Source organism: Homo sapiens, chromosome 12 (assembly GCF_000001405.40).
Source record: "Homo sapiens chromosome 12, GRCh38.p14 Primary Assembly".
In the NCBI taxonomy this organism is placed as follows: Eukaryota; Metazoa; Chordata; class Mammalia; order Primates; family Hominidae; genus Homo; species Homo sapiens.
In genome coordinates, this window is record NC_000012.12 from 52,016,067 (window position 1) to 52,041,289 (window position 25,223).

The 25,223-nt window shown below is 54.3% G+C and overlaps 1 protein-coding gene and 1 long non-coding RNA gene across 10 annotated transcripts in view, besides 6 other annotated features; both read left to right on the forward strand.

Moving 5' to 3' along the window:
* Positions 477-17,407, forward strand: LOC124902934 (uncharacterized). 2 transcript variants are annotated; one of them, XR_007063311.1, is made up of 2 exons: positions 477-725; positions 16,702-17,407. It is a non-coding gene; the product is annotated as an uncharacterized LOC124902934 (long non-coding RNA). The 2 variants fall into 2 exon arrangements; XR_007063310.1 differs by lacking the exon at positions 477-725 and adding an exon at positions 16,526-16,609.
* NR4A1 (nuclear receptor subfamily 4 group A member 1) overlaps positions 6,766-25,223 on the forward strand; it is a 36,672-nt gene continuing 18,214 nt past the window's right edge. For 4 of the 8 annotated variants that reach the window (XM_047428755.1, XM_047428757.1, XM_017019248.2 and 1 more), the window contains exon 1: positions 22,690-24,891. In XM_047428755.1, the coding sequence (XP_047284711.1) occupies positions 24,267-24,891 (625 nt within the window). In that variant the 5' untranslated portion in view covers positions 22,690-24,266. The other 4 variants (NM_001202233.2, XM_005268822.4, NM_001202234.2 and 1 more) reach the window with 4 other exon arrangements.
* Positions 7,455-7,914: a silencer, noted in NCBI's record as "silent region_4479". NCBI's record gives its function as "represses an Ori minimal core promoter by ATAC-STARR-seq in GM12878 lymphoblastoid cells {active_cell/tissue: GM12878}" and the evidence as "EXISTENCE:reporter gene assay evidence [ECO:0000049][PMID:35858748]".
* Positions 8,621-9,558: an enhancer, noted in NCBI's record as "H3K4me1 hESC enhancer chr12:52418471-52419408 (GRCh37/hg19 assembly coordinates)". NCBI's record gives its function as "activates a minimal SCP1, AML or CMV promoter by ChIP-STARR-seq in primed H9 embryonic stem cells {active_cell/tissue: H9 hESC(primed)}" and the evidence as "EXISTENCE:reporter gene assay evidence [ECO:0000049][PMID:30033119]".
* Positions 8,719-9,013: an enhancer, noted in NCBI's record as "tiled region #2055; K562 Activating DNase unmatched - State 13:Ctcf, and HepG2 Activating DNase matched - State 1:Tss". NCBI's record gives its function as "activates a minimal TATA promoter and a strong SV40 promoter by Sharpr-MPRA in K562 cells, with weaker activity in HepG2 cells {active_cell/tissue: K562 | HepG2}" and the evidence as "EXISTENCE:reporter gene assay evidence [ECO:0000049][PMID:27701403]".
* Positions 9,559-10,496: an enhancer, noted in NCBI's record as "H3K4me1 hESC enhancer chr12:52419409-52420346 (GRCh37/hg19 assembly coordinates)". NCBI's record gives its function as "activates a minimal SCP1, AML or CMV promoter by ChIP-STARR-seq in primed H9 embryonic stem cells {active_cell/tissue: H9 hESC(primed)}" and the evidence as "EXISTENCE:reporter gene assay evidence [ECO:0000049][PMID:30033119]".
* Positions 16,931-17,260: a silencer, noted in NCBI's record as "silent region_4480". NCBI's record gives its function as "represses an Ori minimal core promoter by ATAC-STARR-seq in GM12878 lymphoblastoid cells {active_cell/tissue: GM12878}" and the evidence as "EXISTENCE:reporter gene assay evidence [ECO:0000049][PMID:35858748]".
* Positions 20,928-21,137: a silencer, noted in NCBI's record as "silent region_4481". NCBI's record gives its function as "represses an Ori minimal core promoter by ATAC-STARR-seq in GM12878 lymphoblastoid cells {active_cell/tissue: GM12878}" and the evidence as "EXISTENCE:reporter gene assay evidence [ECO:0000049][PMID:35858748]".

The following is a 25,223-nucleotide window of genomic DNA, read 5'->3' on the forward strand; positions in this document are numbered from 1 at the left end:
TCTTCACAACTTGAGCCTCCCTCCCCAGATACCCAAGCAGGTGGTGACCAAGGCTTGCCTCAAGTCCTTAGCCATCCCTGTAGAAATACGTGTGCTTGGCATGCCTTTCTTCCCAGCTTCTGAGGTCTCCCTTGAGGGGCACAAGCCAGATCTGTAGGGACCTGAGGCATTACCACCTGGCCTGTGAGGGGCCCAATCACGGCTCACTCTGTTGTTCTAGCAGTCTTCAGCGGTTTCCCACCCCAGGATGAGATTTTTCTTTTTTGAGATGGAGTCTCCCTCTGTTGCCCAGGCTGGAGTGCAGTGGCCCGATCTCAGTTCATTGTAACCTCTGTCTCCTGGATTCAAGTGATTCTCCCGCCTCAGCCTCCCGAGTAGCTGAGGTTACAGGCAGGCGCCACCACACCCAGCTAATTGTTGTATTTTTAGTAGAGACGGGGTTTCACCATGTTGGCCAGGCTGGTCTCGAACTCCTGACCTCAGGTGATCTGCCTGCCTTGGCCTCCCAAAATGCTGAGATTACATGCGTGAGCCACCGCGCCCGGCCTCCCAGGATGAGAGTCTGACCCCTGCCGGCCTCTGCTTCTTACTCCCCGCTCTGGCTGCGCTGCTGGCTGTACCTGGCACACTTCAGACCCCTTCTATCAGGGTCTGTGCTCTTACCCCTCCCACAGGTGGCTCCTTCAGTCCTCAGCCCTGCCTCCCGAAGACCTTCCCACCCAGTGGTAAATACAGTCATGCCCTCCCCTGTGACAGCCCTGTTTTATTCCCATCAGACTGTGCATCGCCATCCGAGACTGTCTTGACTTTTATGGGTTTATCTTTGCCTGCCCGCCCCACCCGGGAGGATGCACGCTTCTTGCACAGGGCTCAGGAGCCTTGTCTGTCTTCACTGCTTTTTTCTTGCCTGATGCTAGCACATGGTAGACCCTCAATACAGTGTGTGCCAACATGGTGTGTGCTCAAGCATCTCCAAGTGGTAGTCACGACCTCTTTGAAGTGACCTGTCGGGTCATACAGCAAGCTAGTGTCAGAGCTGGGCCTGGGACTTGAGGCCCCTGCTCCAGTGCTCCTCCCGGGGAGTAACCAGCATGCAAAGGGTGGCTTTGAGAGAGGTCTGAGCAGACCCTCCCTACCTGTCCTGCACCATGGTTCTTGCTTTTTGAGTGGGTCCCATTTCTGTTTCTGCTTTTGCTCCTTGAGCATCCCTTCTGCACACAGCAGTCAGCGTGATCTTTTCAAAAAGGAAACTGGATCACAACCCTCCTCTGCTTAAACCCATTATGCCTTTCCCTGGAATAAAAGAATAAGGTCCAAACTCTTTACCATGGCCTATCCATAACACGTCCCTCCGGGGAGACAAATAACAACACAGCTTCCCTTTCTCCAGGCTGACAGCAGCCACATAGGCCCAACAGTTTGGTAACTGGGAGCCTTTTGTGCAGTACCCAACCTCTGCAACTATATCCTGATGCCCTCCATGAATCCCTCTAGAATCTGGTCCCTGCCTCTCCCTCTGATCTCAAATTGTTTCTCCTTCTATGTCACTTGTTACATCTAAGCACACTATCCCTTCTGCTCCTATTCCTCAAATATGTCAAGCTCTCTCCTGCCTCTGGCCTTCACCCATGCTGTCTTCTCTGCCCGGAACACTCTTCTTTGCAAGAATGATTTCTCTATCCTCACACCTCAGCTGAAACATCACCTCCTCAGAGAGGTTTGCCTTATCAAATAGGAACAAGTTCGCTGACCCCATTATTTATTATTTATTTATTTTTTTGAGACAGAGTCTTGCTCTGTTGCCCAGGCTGGAGTGCAGTGGCACAATCTCGGCTCACTACAAGCTCCGCCTCCCAGGTTCATGCCATTCTCCTGCCTCAGTCTCCCGAGTAGCTGGGACTACAGGCGCCCGCCACTAGGCCCAGCTAATTTTTTTGTATTTTTAGTAGAGACGGGGTTTCACTGTGTTAGCCAGGATGGTCTCGATCTCCTGACCTCATGATCTGCCCGCCTCAGCCTCCCAAAGTGCTGGGATTACAGGTGTGAGCCACCGCGCCCTGCCGACCCTATTATTCTTTATCTTGAGTCTTCTGGGTTTGTTAGTTTGTTTGTTTGATTTTTGAGACAGAGTTTCACTCTTGTCACCCAGGCTGGAGTGCAACCTCTGCCTCCTGGGTTCAAGCAATTCCCCTGCCTCAGCCTCCTGAGTAGCTGGGATTACAGGCGCCCACCACGCCCAGCTAAGTTTTGTATTTTTAGTAGAAACAGGGTTTTGCCATGTTGGCCAGTCTGGTCTCGAACTCCTGACCTCAGGTGATCCACCCGCCTTGGCCTCCCAAAGTGCTAGGATTACAGGCATGAGCCACCGTGCCTGTCTATTCTTTTTTACTTCATAGCACTTTCTCCCAATTGGGAATCACACTGACTTCTTTTGTTTCTGTCTTGCCTTTGTGAGGGCAGGAACCCAGCCTTGTTTGAAGTTGCACCTCCAGGGTCTAACAGAGCCTGGCACACAGGAGGGGCTCTATTAACTCATGCTGATGAGTGAATGCCTCCTTGGGGCCAACCCTGCCTAGGGGTAACCATCACCTCCCCACCTCTGAGCCCCAGGGGCTGGGTGAGACAGCCCCTCTTCTGCTCCATCTGTAGCTGGCATCTGTAGGCCCTTCTCTGAAAATCCCTTTGGGGCTGGGTGGCGGCCCCAGCCAGGGCACCTGCACCTGGCCACCCTGTCCTCCCTAGTCCCAGGAAGGGAGGACATTTGATTAAGAAAATGGAGATTCCCCAAGCTCCCTGTTTTAACAGCTGCTCTGTGACGATGACAAATATTGGCTCCCAGGGGCTCAGGTCTAGGGGAGGGGCCCCCTCACACCTTTGTTCCCAGATACAAGGCTGCCAGGAAACCAACTGCCTGGGCATAGCCTGGCACCTTACAGGGGGTGGAAGGCTGCAGGGGCCTCCCTAGATTTCTCCTCCGAGTAGAGAGTCCAAGTCCCTTGGCCACCAGTCTGTCCCCACCCCCTGCCATGTAGCTATTCCCAGGAGTGATGTCGGTGCCCCCTCACCCAGGCTGATGGGGACTCCTGGCCAGCCGTGAGTTCATAGGGGAGGGTGAGGGGTGCCCAGGGCGGGGCTAGATCCCACCTCTCAGCTGATGGGATGACGGCACCAGCACAGCAGCCTCCTGCCGTGTAGGTGGGTGACAGGGAGTGACTAATGTGCGAGCTGCGATGCTAAAAATTAACCCAGGGATCGTGTTTGGCAGAGGGGGTGGGGGTGGATGGGAAAAGGAGCAGGGACTCAGAATATTGTGTGGTCGGTATTTCCCCTGCCCTGCCACCCCTCCTTTGCCTCCCACCAGCCTTCTGCTCCTCTCAAAGCCTCAGGGAACTCTGTGGGAGCCCCTCCCCCATGCTAGGGCAGAAGGGGCTCCCAACAATTCCAGGGAAGGACAGAGGCCTCCACTCCAGGCTTCATGCATGGTCAGGGGAGGGACATGGCCCTGCTGATAGGGTTCTGGTCTGAGGTCCCCACAGAGCCCTGCAGAAGCAGCCAGTGCGCCTAGCAAGGGCAGGTTCCCATCATCAGGCTCGGGGGTGGGCAGTGGGGGTGGCAGCTGCACCACAAGAAAAGAATAGGTGGCCAGGCGTGGTGGTTCATGCCTGTAATCCCAGCACTTTGGAAGGCCGAGGCAGGTGGATCACCTGAGGTCAAGAGTTCAAGAACAACCTGGCCAACATGGCGAAACCCCGTTTCTTCTAAAAATACAAAAATTAGCCAGGCGTGGTGATGGATGCCTGTAATCCCAGCTATTTGGGAGGCTGAGGCAGGAGAATTGCGTGAACCTGGGAGGTGGAGATTGCAGTGAGCCGAGATAGCACCACTGCACTCCAGCCTGGGCAACAGAGCGAGACTCCGTCTCAAAAAATAAAAAAAAGAAAAGGATAGGTGACTTCTGTGTCCCTATGTGCTGGGCTAACACTTCCACATCCATTACCTTACTGAGACCTCACAGTACATCTGAAAGCTCTCTATTTGACAGATAAAGAGACTGAGAATTAGGTTAAGGCAGCATAGCTGGCGCCTGGCAAGGCCAGGATGCTCTCATGCCTGTTTGTCTCTATAGCTTAGGGTGGTGAGAAGGAAGTCTTCCTGGAGGAAGGGGTGTGAGGACAGGGTGGAAGAGATGGTGAGTAATGAGCTGAACTTCTCAGGCTAGGGGCCTCGCCTGTGGAAAAAGTGGTATTGGCATGGTGGGTATATGAGGTATATGAGAGGTAGGACCCGAAAGAGCAGGTCCAAGGTTTGCCAGGGAGCAGTAGGAGGAGGGGCCAGCCCAGAGAGTTCCCGGTTCCATGCATGCAGGTGCTGTGCTGGAGGGAGGGAGAGCATTCCCATCTAAGGGGAGCATAGGGGGGCTCTGGAGACTTGGTGGGGTCCACAAAACAGGGGAGGTGGGCTTGGAGAAGAGCTCTGCTAACACATGTGGGAAAACTTATTAGAAGGAGTGAACCTCTGGACCCTCCCATTTCCCCTGGAAACCAAACCAGAGACCTTGCGCTGAATGGCAGCAGGAGAAGAGGAAGGACAGCAGGAGGCCCCTTCTGCTGCCCAGCCCAAGCTCATGAGGCTGGGAAGTGAGGGAGGCTGTGGGATTCCCCAGCTCAGGAGAGACGTCAGGCTGGCTGGCTGGGAGGCTGCCTGGTCCTGCACCGACAGGTGGATGAAATGACCGTAAGTGGGGAGTGATGGGCTCAGAGAAGTGAGACAGAAAGGAAGCTGAGGGCTCTGGAGGGGCCACGGAAACCCAAGAGAGTTCCTCAAGAGAGTAAAACAGCCAGAGTGCAGCAGTGTGCTGACCCCTGGTGGGGAGCCGGGACCATACCAGGTGGAGAGGGGCACAGAGCAGGGCTCTCCCATCAGCCAACCATTGGGAGCAGCCTCCCTCCCTCCTTAGAGCCCACCTCTTCAGCCCTTCCTCAGCCTGCTGCACGCTTGTACAAAGTGGAGCCTCCCCTGAACCCCACAATCATTTATCTGAAGTGCTCAGACACCCTCCCACTGCTTCTGGTCCCAGGGCCTCTCCTCACTCCACCACCCAGATTGTGGGCTCCCAAGGGAGTGAACCCCATCTCATGCCAGCACTGATCGAAGGCAGGTACGTCTGAATGAATGAATGAACAGTTGAGTTCAGAACATCTAACTAAATGACTAAATGACTCCAACCAACAGACCTTCTCTGCACAGAACCCTGTGTGGTATGAAAGCTCATGGACTGGGGTTGATAGTGGAGAGGAAACATACTTTTCAACAGCAAGATGCAAGAGTGTTTTTATTATTTATTTATAATTTATTTTTATTTTTAGAGATGTGTCTTGCATGCAATCAATATGGGGACCTCCCAGGAGCAGGAGGCCACCAGGTTGCCTAAGACATATGAATTTTTGCTTTCAGGGACACCTCCTAAGCTTCAGTGATCCATCTTGGAGTTGGCCTTTGTGGGGAGAACATATAAATTTATGCAAAAAGTAAAAATGCAAATACTGCCTCTGGGTCTCTTTCCCAGCTGCTCCCCTACAGAGTCACTTAGCCTTTAGTGACTCACAGTTGATCTGGTCCACTCAGCAACCCACAGAGTGACAGCCCACCCAGGTCCCAGCATACATAGCATCTTCTTCTGGAGCCCCCCAAATCTCACTCTAATTGAGGGCTTGGCTGGAGCCACTCTCTCTGAGGAGTGTGGTCTCTGGGCAAATAAGGCAAGACCAGTGGCTGGCAGCTACAGCAGTCAGTAGGGTGGGGGACATTTAACAGCAGATAGGGCCATACTCCTACTCTTGCCATTCTTTTTACCCTTCCCCTCCCCCTTGCAATTCTTTTCTGTTTTTTTTTTTTTTTTTGGTTTTTGAAACAGGGTCAGCTGGGTGCGGTGGCTCACGCCTGTAATCCCAGCACTTTGGGAGGTTGGTAGATCACTTGAGGTCAGGAGTTCAAGACCAGACTGGACAACACAGTGAAACCCAGTCTCTACTAAAAATATAAAAATTAGCTGGGCGTGGTGGCACATGCCTGTAAACCCAGCTACTGGGGATGCTGAGACAGGAGAATCGCTTGAAGCTGGGAGGTGGAGGTTGCAGCGAGCAGAGATTGGGACACTGCACTCCAGCCTGGGCAACAGAGCGAGACTCTGTCTCAAAAAAAGAAAAAGAAAAAGAAAAAGAAAGAAAGAAAGAAAAAAAAAGAAACAGGAAACAGGGTCTTGCTCTGTCGTCCAACCTGGATGCAGTGGTATAATCACAGCTCACCGCAGCCTCAATCTCCTGGGTTTAAGCGATCCTCAACGTTTGGAGTAGCTGGGACTGCAGGCGTAGGCCACCACCCCAGGCTAATTTTTGTATTTTTTGTAGAGAGAGGTTTCGCCATGTTGGCCAGGCTGGTCTCAAACTCCTGGGCTCAAGCAATTCTCCTAACTCGGCCTTCCAAAGTGCTGGGATTACAGGTGTGAGCCACCACTCCTGGCCCCCTTGAGATTCTGATCCAGGAGTTCTAGGGTGGGCTGGGGCGTTGGTATTTTTAAAGCACCCTAGGTGCTTAGTGAGTCTTTATTGAAAGGATGTTGACTGAAGATAATTCTGGAGATCTCTGAGCTCCCTCCCACACAGATCCTTGGGACTCTAAATACTGGCCGAACTCGGCCCCCTGAGGCTGTGTCTTCTTGGGGAGCTAAGGACCTGTGCCTCCCACTGGCCCGGAACCACTTTCTGCTTCCTGGTGTAAGCTTTGGTATGGATGGTGGCCGTCTCCCTACAGACTGGGAGCTGTTAGAGGGCAGGGATCCTAGCTGACACATCTATGTCCTCGCCTTGGTTGGAGGTAGGTATGGGTGGCGGCGAGGGAGGAGATGGGGGTGGGGCTCAACACACTGTCCAGCCCCTGTCGTCTGGCTGGGTATCGCCAGTGCTCAGGGGCGAGCGGAATGGAGAGGAGGCGGGGCTGGGGCGCACAGCCGGCAGGGGATCCCTGCCGGAGTCTGCTTTTCACGGGTTCCCGTCTAGACCAGAGTTGGGGCTCAGCTTGGAGAGATGGGACAGGTGGAGGTGCTGGGGGTTGGAGCCCCACGCGCTGCTCAAGAGGCTGCAGGCTGGCCTTCAAGGCCTGGGCTAGACTGCGGCGGTTGGGGGCTGGCGGTGCGGCTCGGGTGGAGTCCGCCGGGCACCGCCCTCCCTCTCCACCCTCGCCCACCCCGGGGCCGCGAGGCTGTGGGTTGAGCTGCAGAGGCGAGCTCCCTCCTGGGCGTGCCGCCGCCGCGAGTGGGGTGGGAGCGCAGAGGGGGCCTCGGGGTTATGCTTTGCTGGGATCTGGGAAGGAAGCAGGTGGCAGCGCCGGAGTGAGTAACCGCCTCCCGAGGCAGCTAGTCCCGCCGCCTCAGGAAGTCCTGGCGCCGTAGCGCACCGCCGCCCGCCACACCGGGACCTTCCCCTCGCACTAGCCCGCCCCCACCCCGCCTCCATCTCGCGCTCCCAGCCGCAGACACGGGCGCCTCTGCACTCTCAACCCCTCACCCACGCAGACCCTGGCCCGCCGGTGACCTCCCCTGCGGCTCCTCCTTCTGCCCCGGCCCAGCCCCTCCCCTGCTGCTCCTCCTCCTGCCCCGGCCCAGCCCGTCCACCGTCCTCTCATCCCCATGGCCTCGAACCCCAGCCTGCCGAGCCGCTCCTCACAGGGTGCTGTGGCTCCCCGCTGCAAAGGGGCGGGTCCTGGTAGGGGGCGTGGCCTGGCCGACTTGCGGGGCGGCGGCGCCCTCTGCCGGCAGACTCGGGAACGGCCACACTCGTCACCTCGCCCCCGGCCCGGCTCCTGGACCCCCCTGGACCTCTCTGCCAGCTCTCCTCTCTCCTGGAAATGCGCCTGCAGGACTCGGAACGTGCAGAGGTCGGTCCTGGCCCCAGCCGTGCCACGGGCTATCTGAGGGAGAGTCGCGGCCTCTCTGAGGCTTGGCTTCCTTTCCTGTGAAATGGCTGTGGTGAGGAGCAAACGCTCAGCAGTGAAGAAGGACCCTTTGTAACCGCGAAGGAGCCTGTGAGTGTGAGGTATGGTTGTTATCAACGCTAAGGGCAGTCTTTTGCCTTCTGCGGGGGTGACGACCATCCTTCTCCCTGCCCCAGCCCCACAGTGGAAGGAAAACATAAGTCACCTCCAGAGATTATCACATGCAGTGGATTGCTTTCAGCCTTTTTTCTGAATATAAAATATACATATACGTATTTTAATACAATTGTGGCCCTTCTCTACGTGCTGTTCTGTGCTGCCTTTTTTTCTCTCTCTCCAAGTGCTTAACTTATGTTTTAAAGCCCAGATTCGGCCAGAGGGGTGGCTCACCAACACTTTGGGAGGCCAAGGCCGGAGGATCTCTTGAGCAGAAGTTCAAGACCAACCTGAGCAACATAGCAAGACCTCGTCTCTACAAAAAATTTTTAAAAATGATCTGAGTGTCTGTAGTCCCAGCTACTGGAGAGGCTGAGATGGGAGGCTCGCTTGAATCCTGGAGTTCCAGGCTGCAGTGAGCCGTGATTGTGCCACTGGCCACTGCACTCCAGCCTGGGTGACAGAGTGAGATCCTGTCACAAGAAAGAAAGAAGAAGAAGAAAAGAAAGAAAGAAAAAGAAAACAAAAAACCAAAAAGAAAAGAAACAACCAAAAAACTAGAGTCAGACAAACCTGGATTTAGGTTCTTGCTCTGTGACTTTATATTTCCACCCTTGAGCAAACCACACAACCTCTACCTTCCTCAGCCTCAGTTTCCTCCTTTGCAAAATGGTGGTAATGCCAGGAATACCCACTTCACAGGCAGCGGTGAGGCCCCGCACACAGCCCAGTGCATGCTGGTTAGGGCTCTCCTTTTGCTTCCTGAGACTGCACGAGCTCTGCCTTCTTCATGCACCACGTGGTAAGGAAGGAGCTGGAGGCCTCCGCCTCTCGGACCTTGCTCACTGCTGCTTTTTTTTTTTTTTTTTTGACAGAGTCTCTCTGTCGCCCAGGCTGGAGTGCAATGGCACAACCCCGGCTCACTGCACCCTCCGTCCCCCGGGTTCAAGTGATTCTCCTGCCTCAGTCTCCCGAGTAGCTGGGATTCCAGGCGGCCGCCACCACGCCCGGCTAATTTGTCATATTTTTAGTAGAGATGGGGTTTCGCCATGTTGGCCAGGCTGGTCTCGAACTCCTGACCTCAGGTGATCCACCTGCCTCGGCCTCCCAAACTGCTGGGATTACAGGGGTGAGCCACCGCCCCAGGCCTCTTTCGGCACTGCCCTCAACCACATGGGCCTCACTGTTCTTCCGGCGTACCCAGACTTTCCCCATCTCAGCGCCTTCCCACCGGTCCTGTGTTTCCATGGCCTTTCCCCGGGTAGGGGCCTTTCTTTTCCTAGCTTCGCTCAGTTCCCTGCTACATTGTCGCCTCCTCGCAGAAGCCGTCTCTGGCCGTTCCGTATCGCTAGCGCCCTCTATCATTCGCTAGCAGCTCACCCGGCTCTGTTTTTCTTCATTGCACTTCTCGTTATGTGCCGTTCTCTTATAAATGTTTTTGTCTTTATCCCTCCCATAGAAGACACCTCCATGAAAGGCCAGGGCTTTCCGAGGTTCTTTTCCTCTGTGGTTCCTAGAAGAGGGCCTGGCACATAGCCGGCCTTGGCTAGCTTTTTGCGTAAATGTGAAGGGATCCACCTTCCTCCCTTATAAGAGGTAGCAGTACCTCCTGTTACCAGCAGAGGGCACCACCGTACAGCACTTGGGGGCCGCAGGGGATCCTGCTGGGATGGGAGGTATTTAAAAAGCCCACAGGCCTCTCCTCCCATAATGTGGGCGCTCCCACAGCTGGGACCGGAAGCAGGAGGGCCCCCTGCGCTAATCTGCCCTGGCAGCAGCGAGCTGGCACGCCCTGGGTGCATCATCCGGTGTGCTCTGGTGCCCAAGGTCGGAATACCCTCACTGGTGGCTTGGACACACCCCTGAGCAGCTGATGCTTCTGGACAGATCACACCCTGTCCCGGGCTCTCAAAATGAGGGCAATGACATGAGCTGCACTGCTCGCTCACGCGTTTGCTGTGAGGTTGGGACAGGAGTGCATGGGAAATGTTTTATGAATGTAAACATGGGACAAATATAATTTATGCACGCCTTTATTGGTAGTGCAGCAGATTGACAACAAACGAGGGGAGAAGATAAGGTATTTAAAGGAAATTGCAAGGCTAAATGAAGGTGGGAATTAAGACAGTGAAGGAGAACGAAGAAGTTAAAAATAACAACTACCTTTCACCAAGAGCTTATTAGGAGCCAAGGCAGAGGAAAGTGATCTCCAAACATTGTCTAATTATAGCCAACACTTACATGGTGCTGACCTCATGCCAGGAACTCTTTAAGTGCTTTATGCATAAAAACTCACTGGATCCTCACAACAACTCAGGGAGGTAGGTCATATCGCTGTCCCGTTCTACACAAGGAAACTGAGGCCCGGACAGCTTAAGTGACTGGCCCAAGGCCACATAGATAGACAGGGCTGGGCAATCTGCCTCCTGGAATGTGCTCTTAAAGCCCCACAGTCACAGCCACACCAAAAGGGAGATATTGTTATTATCATTCCATTTCCCAAACAAGCAACTGAGGCTTAGCAGATGTACAAAGCCCGCCTAAAGCCACACTGGGAATATGTGTATTTGAGCCCAGCTTAACCACCCACCAAACTAGGCCTGCAGGAGCTAGGAGGGGCTTCAGGAATGTGCACAGGTTCTCTCGGAGGGCAGCAGCAGACATACCCACTCTTCCTCTGAGCGGGGAGGGGAAGGTGAGAGCACAGAGGCTGGGCAGGGCTGATGGGGTTGAGGAAGAGGCTGCTTGGTGGCCTCAACTCCATGGACCGCAGATGGCCAGGCATCTTCTGGCCAGGAAGTGAGAGGTGTGTTGATAGGCACAGTGGCTGTCCACAGGGATTCCAGCCAGAGCTGTGGGCCCCCCACAAATCTCCATAGGGAGACTAGGGACTGAGGGGTGGGCCTTACAGTGGGAGGTGGGAGCAGCCCCATCCCTACCACAAGTGCCCCTTAGCCCAGCCCTGACTTCCAGCCCGTTACATAAGCTGCTGCATACCCAGGCCTGGAAATAGCTGAGGCTGTACCGGCTGGGCTGGGAGACGTGATGAATGGTCCCCAGGAGCATCAGCTGACCGCCCTGTGCTCCTGAAGTGACCTGAGGGCCTGCCAGCAGCTCGGGTTACCCAGCTCTCCCTGGGAGGCAGCCCTGCCTGGTCTGCTGAGGATGGCTCTGATGTGATTCTGTGTCTGGACATTTATGGTTCGAGTGCCCGCAGGATGGTCCCTCTCCCAAGCCTGAGCAGCTAAGGCAGCTCCCAGCCACGCTGTGCCCACTGGCAGCCTCTGGATGCTGGGAGCCAGGGCCTTGCCCAGAGCAAGCACTTGGATCTCTGCAGACAGTCAGCACTGGGAGGGCTGAGAGCTCTGCTGCTCTGAGTCCTGTGCTAAGGGCCCGCAAGGAAAGAGGAAGAGGAGCCTGAGAAACTCGGGGTGCACGTGGGGGCTGCAGGTGTCATTCCAGGGCTGCACTCCACCCACATCCCCATGCCTCCTGTTTCACGGCCCACTCTGTTACTGAACTGGTGGCCCTGGGCACAGGGGGGCACCCACACACTCTGATGCCCACTGCAGAGGGCAGAGCCACACACCCCTCCAGGGACTAGGCACATACACCCTTACTTCTGAGAGTAACGTGGCTAGGCTCAGGAGTGTAGGAGGGCGTTCTCCCAGCATATGGTGATCATATGTTAAGAATTATTATTATGTTGGTCAGGTGCGGTGGCTCACACCTGTAATTCTAGCACTTTTAGAGGCTGAGGTGGGAGGATTGCTTGAGTCCAGGAGTTTGAGACCAGCCTGGGCAACATGATGAAATCCTGTCTCTACAAAAAATACAAAAATTAGCCGGGCGTGGTGGCATGTGCCTTTAGTCCCAGCTACTCGGGAGTTTGAGATGGGAGGATCGCTTGAGCCCAGGAGGTTGAGGCTGCAGTGAGCCAAGATTGTGCCACTACACTCCAGTCTGGGTGACAAAGTGAGACCCTGTCTCCAAAAAAAAAAAAAAAAAAAAAAAAAAAGAAGAGAGAAGTATGAATGATTATGGCCATGCCAATTCTGTGCCTTTAAGATACCTGCTTAAGGGGCCGGGAGCAGTGGCTCACGCCTGTAATCCCAGCACTTTGGGAGGCTGATGCAGGCAGATCATGAGGTCAAGTGATCGAGACCATCCTGGCCAACATAGTGAAACCCCGTCTTTACTAAAAATACAAAAATTAGCTGGGCGTGGTGGCTCATGCCTGTAGTCCCAGCAACTTGGGAGGCTGAGGCAGGAGACTTGCTTGAACCCAGGAGGCGGAGGTTGCAGTGAGCTGAGATTGAGCCACTGCACTCCAGCCTCGTGACAGAGCAAGACTCCGTCTCAAACAAAACAAAAAAACAAAAAAGATACCTGCTTAAAAGACAAAAAGACCAGGCCAGGCGCGGTAGCTCATGCCTGTAATCCCAGCACTTTGGGAGGCCGAGGTGGGTGGATTACGAGGTCAGGAGTTCAAGACCAGCCTGGCCAAGATGGTGAAACCCCGTCTCTACTAAAAATACAAAAATTAGCTGGGCGTGGTGGTGGGCGCTTGTAATCCCAGCTACTTGGGAGGCTGAAGCAGAGAATTACTTGAACCCGGGAAGCGGAGGTTGCAGTGAGCCAAGATGGTGCCACTGCACTCCAGCCTGGGTGACAAAGCGAGACTCCATTTTAAAAAACAAAAACAAAAACAAAAACAAAAAGACCAAAATTCAACTTCTCCCTAAAAATATTAATGCTTTAAGTGAAATTATCTCTCTAGTATTCCCCAAATCCTTTAGTGGAATAGGCATAATAGGCACTCCCAGGGAGCTAGGACCTGTTTACTCTGATTCCAGGACCTTCTGACAGGTGGGAAGCCCCCAGCTGGAGAAGTGTGGGACATTTTCTAAAAGAGCAGTGGAAAGTGAGTGAGTTGCCCCATCTGCCTGACCACAGATTGCCTGTCCAATGACAGGAGGGACGCATACATGCACACACACTCCACCTCTCTCCTTGGTGCTCAGATGTGGGGGCAGAATTCCCCTCCAAACGCCTGCAGCAGCATTCCCTGAAGACCCTGCCTGTGCCCAGACCCTGCCCATGACTTTGCACCCTCCTTGTGTGCCTGTGGGTCCTGCAGTTCTGAGCCCATGGCCAAGGCACAGGGGAAACAGGCCCCTAATGTACTCCAGAGACGGCCGGTGTGGTGGCCCACACCTGTAATCCAACATTTTGGGAGGCTGAGGTGGGTGGATTGCTTGAGCTCAGGAGTTTGAGACCAGCCTGGGCAACAGAGTGAAACCCCGTCTCTACAAAACATACAAAAATTAGCCAGGCATGGTGGCATACACCTGTAGTCCCAGCTACTTGGGAGGCAAAAGTGGGAGGATCACTTGAGCCAGGGAGGCTGAGGCTGCAATGAGCTATGGTTGCATCACTGCATTCAAGCCTGGGCAACAGAATGAGACCCTGTCTCAAAAAACAAAAACCACACACACACAAGACAGAACACCAGAGAGCTAAGGAATACCTACCCCTCTGCCATATAAACCTGTGTGGGGAAGGGCTTGGCTTCCTTCAGTTCCCTCCCGCCTGCCTCATGTCTCTCCAGGCACTCTCCCTTGAGGGTTGTCACCGGTAACCAGAGCTGGCTCCCCTGGTGAGAGCAGGAGCAGCGTTACTTAGCAACAGGCACAGCACACAAAATCCAGCTAATCTGGGCTGCCCCAGTGGCCAGCCCTCCTACAGCCCTCAGGGCGGTGGCTGCTGGCCAGCAGCACACCCCTAGAAGTGGACACTTATAAACTTCTGCATCTTTCTACCCCAGCAAACCCTAAGTTCCAGCTTGGGCAAGAAGGACTCTTGCACACAAAGGCACAAAGACATGGGCAGGGTGTGGGCACAGGCAAGGTCTTCAGGGAATGCTGCTGCAGGGGCATTTTCTCCGCCCTCCCTGTCCCTCTCCCCTTCCTTAGGCCCTGTCTCCCTTCACAGTATCTACAGAACTCTCTGAGGCGGGGGTCCCAGCTCTGCAGCAAGCCATGAAATGAAGGGCAAATCCCTTCACCTCTGGGTAGCTCAACTTCTCTGGGAAGCAATAACATAGCAGCTCAGTGTAAGGACTTTGAGGCCACACTGGTCTGGATGCAAATCCATGCTCTGCTACTTCTCAGCTGTGTGACACTGGACATGTTTACTTAACCTTTTATTTATTTTTTATTTTGTATTATTTTTTGAGACGGAGTCTTGCTCTGCTGCCCAGGTTGGAGTGTAGTGGTGCAATCTTCGCTAACTGCAACCTCCACCTCTCAGGTTCAAGTGGTTCTCCTGCCTCAGCCTCCTGAGTAGCTGGGATTACAGGCATAGGCCACCATGCTGGGCTAATTTTTGTATTTTTAGTAGAGACGGGGTTTCATTATGTTGGCCAGTCTGGTCTCGAACTCCTGACCTCATGTGATCCGCCTGCCTTGGCCTCCCAAAGTGCTGGGATTACAGGCGCGAGCCACCACACCTGGCCTACTTAACCTTTTAGAGCCTCAGTTTCCTCAATACTAAAATAGTGCCCACCTTAGATGGCTGCTGAAAGAAGAGACAAAGGAAAAAAGTCATCGGCACAGAGTCTGGCACAAGGGCCTGTGGATTGGGCTGAGTGCTCCTCTCGCGCATCCCCAGCTCTGTCCCCCTTAGTCACTGGCCTCCAGCCACTTGCCTTACTCTGCTGCTCTAACAAGCTGGCACTCTTTCATTACTGTTTCCTCTCCCTGCAACTTATCCCTTTCCCCTAACTCTCCACCGACAAACTCCCCTCAGTTTATTTATTTTGAGATAGGGTCTCACTCTGTCGCCCAGGCTGGAGTGCAGTGGTGCTGTCACAGCTCGCTACAGCCTCAGACTCCTGGGCTCAAGTGATTCTCTCACCTCCGCCCTGAAGTAGCTGGGACCATAGTCCCGTAACACCAAGCAGGCTATTTTTTAATTATTATTATTACTTTTAGTAGAAACAAAGTCTCCCTTACGTTGCCCAGGCTGGTCTCAAACTCCTGAGCTCAAATGATCCTCCCATCTCGGCCTCCCAAAGTGCTGAGATTACAGGCATGAGCCTCCAGTGGTGCCCAGCCTTCCCTCAGTTTAAAAGCTACTTCCCGCCAGGCACAGTGGCTCACGCCTGTAATCTCAACACTTTGGGAGGCCGAGGCGGGCAGATCACATGAGGTCAGGAGTGTGAGACCAGCCTGGCCCACATGGTGAAACCCCATCTCTACTAAAAATACAAAAATTAGCCAGGTTTGGTGGCATGCGCCTGTAATCCCAGCTACTCATGAGGCTGAGGTAGGAGAATGGCTTGAACCTGGGAGGCAGAGGTTGCAGTGAGCCGAGATCATGCTACTGCACTCCAGCCTGGGTGACAGAGTGAGACTCCGTCTCAAAACAAACAAACAAACAAATAAAAAAGCTACTTCCTTGGAGAAGCTTTCTCTTATCCATCCCTTGCGAAAATTACAGCTGCCTGTTAAATATCTCACTGACATCCTCCATTTCATTTTCTCTTTATGGTTGTGATGGTTAATTTTTTTTTTTTTTTTTTTGAGACGGAGTCTCGCTCTGTTGCCCAGGCTGGAGCGCAGTGACGCAATCTCAGCTCACTGCAACCTTCGGCTCACTGCAATTTCCGTCTCCTGGGTTCAAGCAATTCTCCTACCTCAGCCTCCGGAGTAGCTGGGATTACAGGTGCCCGCCACCACGCCCAGCTAATTTTGTATTTTTAGTAGAGACGGGGTTTCACCATGTTGGTCAGGCAGGTCTGGAACTCCCGGCCTCAAGTGATCCGCCCGCCTCGGCCTCCCAAAGTGCTGGGATTACAGGCTTGAGCCACCGTGATGGTTAATTTTAAGTGTCAACTTGACTGGGCTAAGGGATGCTCAAATAGCTGGTAAAATGTTATTTCTAGGTGTATTTGTGAGGCTGTTTCTGGAAGAGATTAGTATTTGAATCAGTAGACTGAGTAAAGAAGACCGCCCTCACCGCTATGGGCAGGCATAATTTAATCTGTTAAGGACCTGAATAGAATAAAAAGGCAGAGGAAGGGCAAATTTGCTCTTCTTTGAGGTGGGACACCATATTTTCCCTGCTTCAGACATCCATGCTCTGATTCTTGCACCTTCAGACGCGGACTGGAACTACTCCAGCTTGCGGAGGGCAGATCCTGGGTACTTCTCAGCGTCCATAATCATGGGAGCTAATGCCTCATAATAAATCTTTTTCTATATCTCTGTATATCCATCCTATTGGTTCTGTTTCTCTGGAGAACGCTGGCTAACACCATGGCACTTACTGCTTATGTGCAAGATTGTTGAACATTCATCTCTCCTACTTGGCTGTCAGCCCGGGGACAGGAGCTGTGTCTGTTTTGTTCTGTGCTGTGCTGTGTTTCCAGTGAGAGGGCTGGCCTAGGTGTTTCTCCGAAGTATGTTCCAGCTTTCGGTACCTCTTTATTTCTTATTTCTTCCTTCCCCTGCTCTCCAAGTTGACCTAAATAGTTTTTGCACCTTTTCTTAGGTTCACTGAATCTCCAAGCAGCGAGGTGTATCTGGAAAGACAGCTCAAGAATTAAGGGTGCTCACCCTTAATTACACTCCATTTTCCTCAGGACAGGCTGGAACAGATTTGGGATGGCGAGCCCCCAAACCAGCACTCTACAGATTTCGGGACCCCTCTTAACTCATTTCCCCCATCCTCCCAATGACGTCTATTCGCCTGCAGCAGACCCGAAGGAAGCTTCGGCTCAATGGTTCATTTGCATGCGCCCGTGCTATTGGTCGGAGGGGCGGCACCGTAGCCAATGGTGTGCAGGGGTGTTGACCGAGCCGCAGCTCTGCGCCGCCGGGTGAGGTAATGGAATCCTGGCTGGACCTGCTGCGGCTCCCTCCGGACTGGCTAGTGACGTAGCGGCTTCCCCGGCCCCACCCCGCCCAGCCCGGCCGCCCCCGGGAGCGCAGCTGGGGCTCGGCCCTGTTCCTTCCGGCCCGGCGTTCCGGTCGCGGGCCCCTCAGGGAGGACCCGCCGGGCCAGATCCCATCTCTGGCGACGCGGAGAAAAATCTGGAAGCCGTCGTCGGAGGATGACCAAATCCTCGCTCCTCTGGGAGTGCGATTACGGGCCTCTCACTTCGTAAATCACGCAGGCCTGAAACGCTCACATTTGTTTACCACGAGCATGTTTGATTTTGTAATTTAACAAATAAAATTGCAGAGGATTTTTAAGAGCCCTGGCCTGGATTTAGGGGAAATCTCGCATTAATTCCAGCTCTGCCATTTCCGGTCTGGAGACCTTGGCCACTTTCTCTTGGGGCCCTGACGCCTTCCATGGCAACTAAGTAGAGCAAACGTGGAAGTGCTTCGAAAACACCAAGTGGGGTCTCCTCATCCTTATGCAATCTGGAGAGTGTAACCCCATCTGGGCGGTGTCTCTGGACAGCCCCTGAGCCCTGAGACAGCCCCAGGAAGACCCGTCTTTGTGTCTCTATTTTTTCGGCCCTTAAATTGCTCTTAAGCCTGGGGAGAGGTCGGGGGACCCCGGCCAGGTAGTTCTTGATCCTCAAGAAGAGGAAGGAAACCATGAAGGGAATCCCTTCCACAGCCCCTCTCCTTATTCAGGGCCAGGGCCTGAGCAGGGGAGCCCCTTCTCTGCCCAAATGCCCTAGGGAACCCCCTTGACATCCTTTTACCCCCGCCCCCGAGGGCCAGGATGGAGGTGGAGTGGAAGGGTGTCTCCTAGGTGGGGTGGAGTTTCAGATGCTGTGAGATGGAAGGGCACCTGGGGAGGGCCACTGAGAGTCTGGCTTATGGTCCTGGGTCCTGTGGCTTACCTTGGCCCACTACTTCCCACCCTCAGGATCTCAGCCCTGCCCTGCCGCATACCTAAGGTTTGGGGGCAGCCTCTCTCCTCCATGGAGTGCCTTTTCTCTATACCCTGCCTGGTCCTGTCTCTTCTTTCACACTGGGCCCTACATTCTCTTCCTCCAGGGAGGCCTCTTGAGACTAGTCCTCTAGATTCTACCCCAATGCCAGCTCAAGGCTTCTTGGAGGCCACTTCTTGGATGTCCTGGCAATGTTTCCATACCTATTCTTGTGTCCTGCCTCCCCATCAGACTAGGAGCCAGCTTTCTGTGTAGGAGCTTGTCCTCTAGGAACCTCCCACAATGTGGGGCGTCACTGGCCATGGTGGCCTGTCTCCCCTCTGCTCCGACTCCCTGGGCCATGCACGTTGTTCACCTTTTCTCTCCTCACCTTTCCTATCTGCAATAGGGGCTGTGAAGCAGTGCCTGTAGAAAGGAGAGGAATTAGATATGAAGGAACAAGAGGCTGGGTAGAAAGAGCACTGGCCTGGGAGTCAGAAGACCAGGGCTATGGAGACAGAAGACCAGGGCTATGGTTCTGGCTGGGCAACTCACTAGCTGAGTGACCTGGATCAGGGAGACAACAACAGGGCAGACGTTTACTGGACATTTGTAATGACTAAGAAGCGACATTGCTCCTATCTGTGCAGCCCCCACGGCCCCCAGTATTCCCAATAAACATACTGGCTGGGCAAAGCTAGGGTAAGCACCTTGGATGTACAGCTTCAAGACAAGGTCCCAAGTCCTCCAAGTCCTCCTGTATGGAAATGGCAGATCTGCCATGATGTGCCAGACTCCGCTTCATGCTTTATGTCTGCTCTCAAAGAGGCACTCTCATGGCAACCCTGTGAGATAGGTTTCTTATCATCTTTGTGTTTGAGGTGAGGAAACTGAAGCCCAGAGAGGGCAAGTAACTTCCCTGGAGTCATGCAGCTGGTAAGAGGTAGAGCCTCTTGTGGGTTAGGGAAATGAGACTCCTAGGGCAGAGCAGGGAGGAGAACTAACTCTGAGTGCCTGCTGTGTACAAGGTACCTCCACATCTGTTCAGTCCTCCGACAACCAGTGTCCATCCCAGACCTCTAGAGACTGCTTCTTCCACCATCTCACGCCGCCTCCACATGCCACCCAAAGCGTGCGTGTTCTGGCATTCCACATTTTAGAATATGTTTTATTTGATTATAAATAGGAGAATATATAATAAAGACAAGTTATGCTAAAAGTATTTATGGAAAGGAGAGACCTCTGTGGGCTGGAAGCCTTCATGGAAAAACTGGTAACTGAGCCCTTTTTTTCCCTTCCTGTCTAAATAAATGTATTTCTCCCACACAGGCAAATATTTTAAAATGTATTTCAAAAGTTAGACTTCTGGAAAAAGAAAGGAAAAGAGGGGGTGGGGTAGCTGCTCCTCTAAGAAGCCCATGTGAAAGAAGCTGCTGGGGTAGGAAACAGGAGGGCACAGGGTGAGTGAGGAAAAGTCAGTCCCTTTCCCCCACCCCAACGCCTTGTCATTTTTGAAGCCTCAGTTTCTTTATCTGCAAATTGACCTAATACTTGAACCTGGGAGAGAAATGTACAGGTTCTTGGGATGTGATTTTGAGAGACAAACTCTGCAGAGGTTCTTGGAATCATTATGAAGAATGAGAGAAAGGGAATTCTGAGTTGCGCCAAGAGTTTAGGATTTGTCCAGCAAAGGATTTCTGGGGGTGGGCAGTGGGGTGGAGAGAGGAATGCAGCCCCTGGAATGAGGGCTGAGTGGAGGTGTGGGGCCTCTTTTGGAGAATTTTGAGCACAGAAGAGATTCTTTGCTGCGTGGGGCCTGGGCTGGGTGCTGGAGATTGTATAGCATGCTCATAATTTAAGGTGGCTCCAAAAAGGATCAGGGGCTAGTGGCTGGCACAGCAGAGCACATGACTGGATCCTCCCTAATGGGTGTTCCCCAATGACCTTGCCTGTACGGGGGTATAGGAGCAGAGATGGTAACCCCCAACCCCACCCAGCCAGCCCCAATCCCATTGCTCCAACTTTGGCCGGGCCTTCCTGACCAGCCTCTCCTGAGTGGGCAGCTGCTGGGGGAGAAGGATTTGCTCAGGACAGGATGGTTCTTCCATTTCCAAAGAGGGCTCCAGTCACATGGGAGAGAGAAACCTTCCAAGTGCCTGCACCCCCAGGAAAATTCTTACCATGGAAGCCTGGGCCTGAAGACTCTGGTCAGAGGAGGGTGGGCTTCCCAGGGCTTCCTGGTCACGGTGGTGGGCCTCTGAGTGCATGAAGCACTCCTTTGGATTGGGGAGAGCAGGGAGAACTAACTCAGTATCTACTGTGTACAAGGCACCTCCACAGCTGTTATCATCCTGACAGCCAGATATGGTGGATAATCTGATCATATCATGTTTTAGAGACGAGGAAGCTGAGGCTCAGGAGGTCAAGTGACTGTCCTAAGTCACACAGTGGTATGGGAGCAGCCAGATCAGTGAATCCATCACCTGGGCTTTGCCGGGGCCTGCACCCCCGCCTCGGGAAGTGCCCTCTTCAGGAGAAAGTCCTATTTCTCTGTAAGCTGCCTTCTCGTGTGGAAGCTGGGTGCCCTGCTACCTGGGTTCCTTGCCCTTGGGGTGGCATGAATGCCAAGCGATGCAGGCAGGGCGCCCGCAGACTCAAAGGCCAGGCCCTGTCCTCGCCAGCAGCCGAATCGCTGTGACTTTGGACCGCCACCGAGTCTCTCTGGGCCTCGCTCTTTCCACCTCTTCCTGGGGAAGCCCCGGCTAAGTTTCTTTATAACCTAGCCCCAGGTGCCCAGCCTCGGAAGGTGTGAGCGAGACCTCGGCACCCTCACCTGAGAACCAGCTCCCCGGCTCTGGCCGCGGGTTATGTAACCGGGTGTGCGGCGTGGGGGGAGCCGCGGGGCGGGGCGCTCGCGGCTATTCCGGGCGCCGCTATTTTTAGCCCCATTGATGAGGCTGCGTCGGCCGCCGCCGCCGGGATTCCGGAGACGTCAATGGGCACGCGTCACGGTCCCCGCCCCGCCCGCCGGGGGAGGCGCGCCGGGGCTGGGACAGCGCGCGGGCGGCCGCGGGCGCGGGGGCGGGGGGCGCCGCGCGGCCGGAACTGCGGGCGGGGGGCTTCCCGGGGGCGGGGGGCGCTGAGCGGCTGCGGCGCGGCTGCAGGAGCGCGAGGAGGAGGTGGCGGCGGCGGCGGAACTGGCGGGGGTCCCCTCGCGGCGCCCGGGACCCCCGGCCTCCAGGCATGGGCGCCCCTGCGGTGCAGAGCAGCTCAGGGCCGGCTGGTGCGCGACCCCGGAAAGCGGGGGTGGAGAGGCGAGCGGAGCCCGCGGGGCCAGGTGAGGGGCTGCCGGGGTGGCGGGAGGTGGGCCCCGGAGAGGCCGGGCAATCTCGGGTCTTCGGTGGATGCCTTTGGGCGGGCTCGGGGCCACGCCGGAGTCCCGCTTGGAAACTGGGGAGTCGGGGGGGGGACTGGATTCCCAGCGGAACCGCTGGCTCCGAGTCAGCCCCCAAGGGCGACGGCCAAGGCTTTCTCTCCCCAGTCCGCCAAGGGTGGGGTTTGGCCCACGAGGGGCGCTGGAGGTGGCCAGGCCAGAGAAATTCCTTCCATTTCTCCGCCGGCTGCGGGAACCGGTTCCAGGAGCGCGGGAGCTCGTCTGCCAGGAGACCCAGCCGGGAGGGACCGATGCTGCGTGATGCAACCCCTTCGAGGGACTGAGTCAAGAAACCAAGGCTGGGGGTCTCGTGGAGTCAGGCGGAGCTGGGGATTAGGACTCGGGGCTTGTGTCTCCCAGGCGTGTTTTTTTGTTGTTGTTTTGTTTTTTTGCCGCAACATCTTCCTTATACTGGGTGGGGTGGGGGCGGGGGTGGTCTGTATTTCCAGACCTCCTCCATGGTGGTCTGGCTGTGTGGAGGGCAGGGCACAGTTCCTTGACTTGGCTCATTCCCCCCCAACGCCCCCCCTTTCTTTTTTTTTTGAGATGGAGTCTCGCTCTGTTGCCCAGGCTGGAGTGCAGTAGCGTGATCTCGGCTCACTGCAATCTCCGTCTCCCGGGTTCAAGCGAATCTCCTGCCTCAGCCTCCAGAGTAGCTGGGACTACAGGCACCCACCACCACGCCCGGCTAATTTTTGTATTTTTAGTAGAGACAGGGTTTCACCATATTGGCCAGGCTGGTCTGGAACTCCTGACCTTGTGATCCGCCTGCCTCGGCCTCCTAAAGTGCTGGGATTACAGGCGTGAGCCACCGCGCCTGGCAGGCTCATTCCCTTTTTATGCCTTCGTTTTTGATAGATGACCTGGGGATGGGAGAAATGCTGCAGAGGTGGTTTATTTACAGTGAATTGTTAATTTGGTTGTGGGGCTAGTATTAGGGGCACATTGGGAAAACACAGGCTGGGCAGAGGTTGGTAGGTTCACAACAGTTATGCCCACTGGGTGCTGATGGATTTGGGGGCTGTCGTCGGCCTGGCTTGGGGCCCTAGTGGTGGGGCTACAAGGCTTGCTCCTAGATCTACTCCAAGTGAACATTTAAGATCAGTGACTTGGATGGAGACTTAAAAAGGAAGTCAGCTGACTCCGTGTAGTCATCCAGAGCTGTGAGGAATGACAAGTGCACAGTATAAAATCAAGATTCTAATTGAAGGTAACTGGGCAGAAGGATGGGCCGAGATTAACGGTGTGAATGTGACTGACGATTCCTGTGCTGAGGCCTCTGCTGGACTTAAGAAAGTCAGCTGAGGAGTTCAGGCCCTGTGCCTGGCTCAAAGGCCCAGGGACCCAGGCCCTTAGCTTCTGCCCTGCTCTCTGGATGGAGGCTGTGGGACTGCTCTGTGCAGTGTGAAGCCTCCATCCGCTACACAGGTCCAAGTGGGTGGCAGGGGGAGCGAGAATGCCTGATTCTGGACTCCTTGGTTAGGCTCCCTGGGTTCTAATCCCAGTTTTGCCAATTCCTAGCTGTGTGACCTTGGGCAAGTTGCTTAACATTTCTTTCTGGGCCTTAGTTTCCTCATTGGTAAAATGTGCATAATAATAATCCCTTCCTCATAACATTGTGAGGCTGAAATGAGAAAATGCATGTAAAGTGCTTAATGTATCTGGCACATGTTGTTTAACAAATATTAGCTGCTGTTGTTATTGCTAATAATAGTAATATGCCCACTTCTGGGTAGGGATATTGGCCAATGCAGAGCTTGTACTCAGGAGGCCACCAGGACCTGTCACGCAGAGGGCCTGTCAGCGGTGTCCTGTTGCAAGGGGCAGTTTATTAAGAAAAGACTAAAATACTTGCTAGGAAGGACTAGAATGAGGCTTCCTGTGGGCCAGTGCAGGGGACAGAGCTGGGATCCAGGGCTGGGGACTTTTAGAGTCAGGGATGTGATTCAACATAAGGAAGAACCTCTGCTCTGGCTCTTGGATCTGCCGCCAAATGGAAGGGACAGCTCCTGAGCTGGAATGCTCTCCCCACCTAGCTGACCTTCCTCCCAGCACAGCTCCAATGCAGGCATGTGCATCCACCACCCTTCCACGCACACTTACTGAGCACCTGCCAGTGCTGAGCAGGGTTTAGAGACTGCAGACTCTGCAGTGATTGAGATGGACAGCGTCCTTAGATTCTGGTTGGGTAGACAGGTGATAAACCAGTGAACAGATGTGAACATTAGACCTATGATGAATAAAATCAGGCTAGTGTGGTGGGGTGGGGATGCAAGCTGTTCAGGGAAGTGACATGGGAATGGAAACCTGGTTGATGAGAAAGAGCCAGTTCTGGGCAGAGGGAATGGCAGATGCAGAGGCCCTGAGTGGGGAGAGAAGGCCCACGTGATGGGACCATAGTGAGTGGCTGGGAAATGAGGTTGGTGGGGAGCAGGAGCTGGGGACTGAAGTCTGGCCTGATGGTCCACCCCATTTTGGGGGCCACTTTCTCCTCCTCCAAGCCCACTCAGCCTTTGGTTTGCTCTCTGCACAGTGCAGACTGTACTTGACCTTGGTTCATCCCTTATCAGCTCCTGGGGCTCTGGGATCTTGGTGTGCTCATTCTTGCCTCTCCTGTTGTTCGGGGCACACTGCCTGGCTCCCGGGGGTCCTCAGTAAATGCTTGTGATGTGACTATTGAGGGGGGCATTTTGATCTGGAACAAGTGGGGAAACAGATACCTGTTTGAAGATGCTATGAATCATTTGTGGGCACCACCTGGTGCCAAACTCTGGCCCCCGTTCTGAGAACCAGATGGGGAAGACCTGGGCACTCAGGTTGGGCCTGACTATGGTAGGTGGTATTTGGCCCTCCCTACCCTTCCTCCTCAGCAGTGGGGTGGTAGGGAGAAAAGACAAAGCTGGGGGAAACTACAGACCAGTTTCGGGGGGATGGGAGGATGACACTGTCATCCTGGAAAGCAGGTGTAGTCCATGGGCCGGGGCAGGTTGGAAACCTTGTCTTGCTTTCTGTTTGGGGTTAAAGGTGCTCCAGATGTTCCAGTCTGCCCTCCCTTCCCTCCTTGTCTCCTGTGGCCTTTTCCTGCTTCCCATCATACCCACAGGATCGGGAGGGAGGGGTGCTGACAATGTTGTAAGGGGAGAGCCTGGGTACTGTGGGCCAGAGGATCTTCCCTTGGCCTGTAGACCTTGGGCAAAGGTCAGGTGGGTGAGGAAGCCCATTGCCCACCCTCTGGGGTCCTCCTCCTCTTTGCCCCTCCTAGCTCCCATCATCTCCTTCTCTTTTCCCAGACCTCATCTCAGTCTGAAGGGCAGTCCAATAGCCAGTGAAGGCCTGGTCCTGCCCTCACTCTGGTGCGTAGTCGAGAGGAGAGAGCACTGGAGGGGATGGAAGAAGAGAAGGGGAGATGTGGGTCAAGGTGCCGTGGCTGAATGGGGTTGGGGGAGAGCTGAAGAGGCTGGGGTGTGGGGTGAGGCACACAGTTGGCTTCCACCCTGGAAGGAGAGGCCAGGTGCCCAGGGTACCTTGGACTAGGAACCAGGGGTTGGGGCTAGCTTTTATGTGTGTGTCCTCATTGAACTTCTCCTAATATTGATATGTAGTAGATATGTGTATCCAGCACTGTCCTTAAGTCTTTTACACATTAACTTTTTTTTAAGCCTGCTGATAAGCCTGTGATTGTTAATTTTACAGATGTCATCATTTTTACAGATGAGGAGCATGAGGTACAAAGAGATTATGTAATTTGCC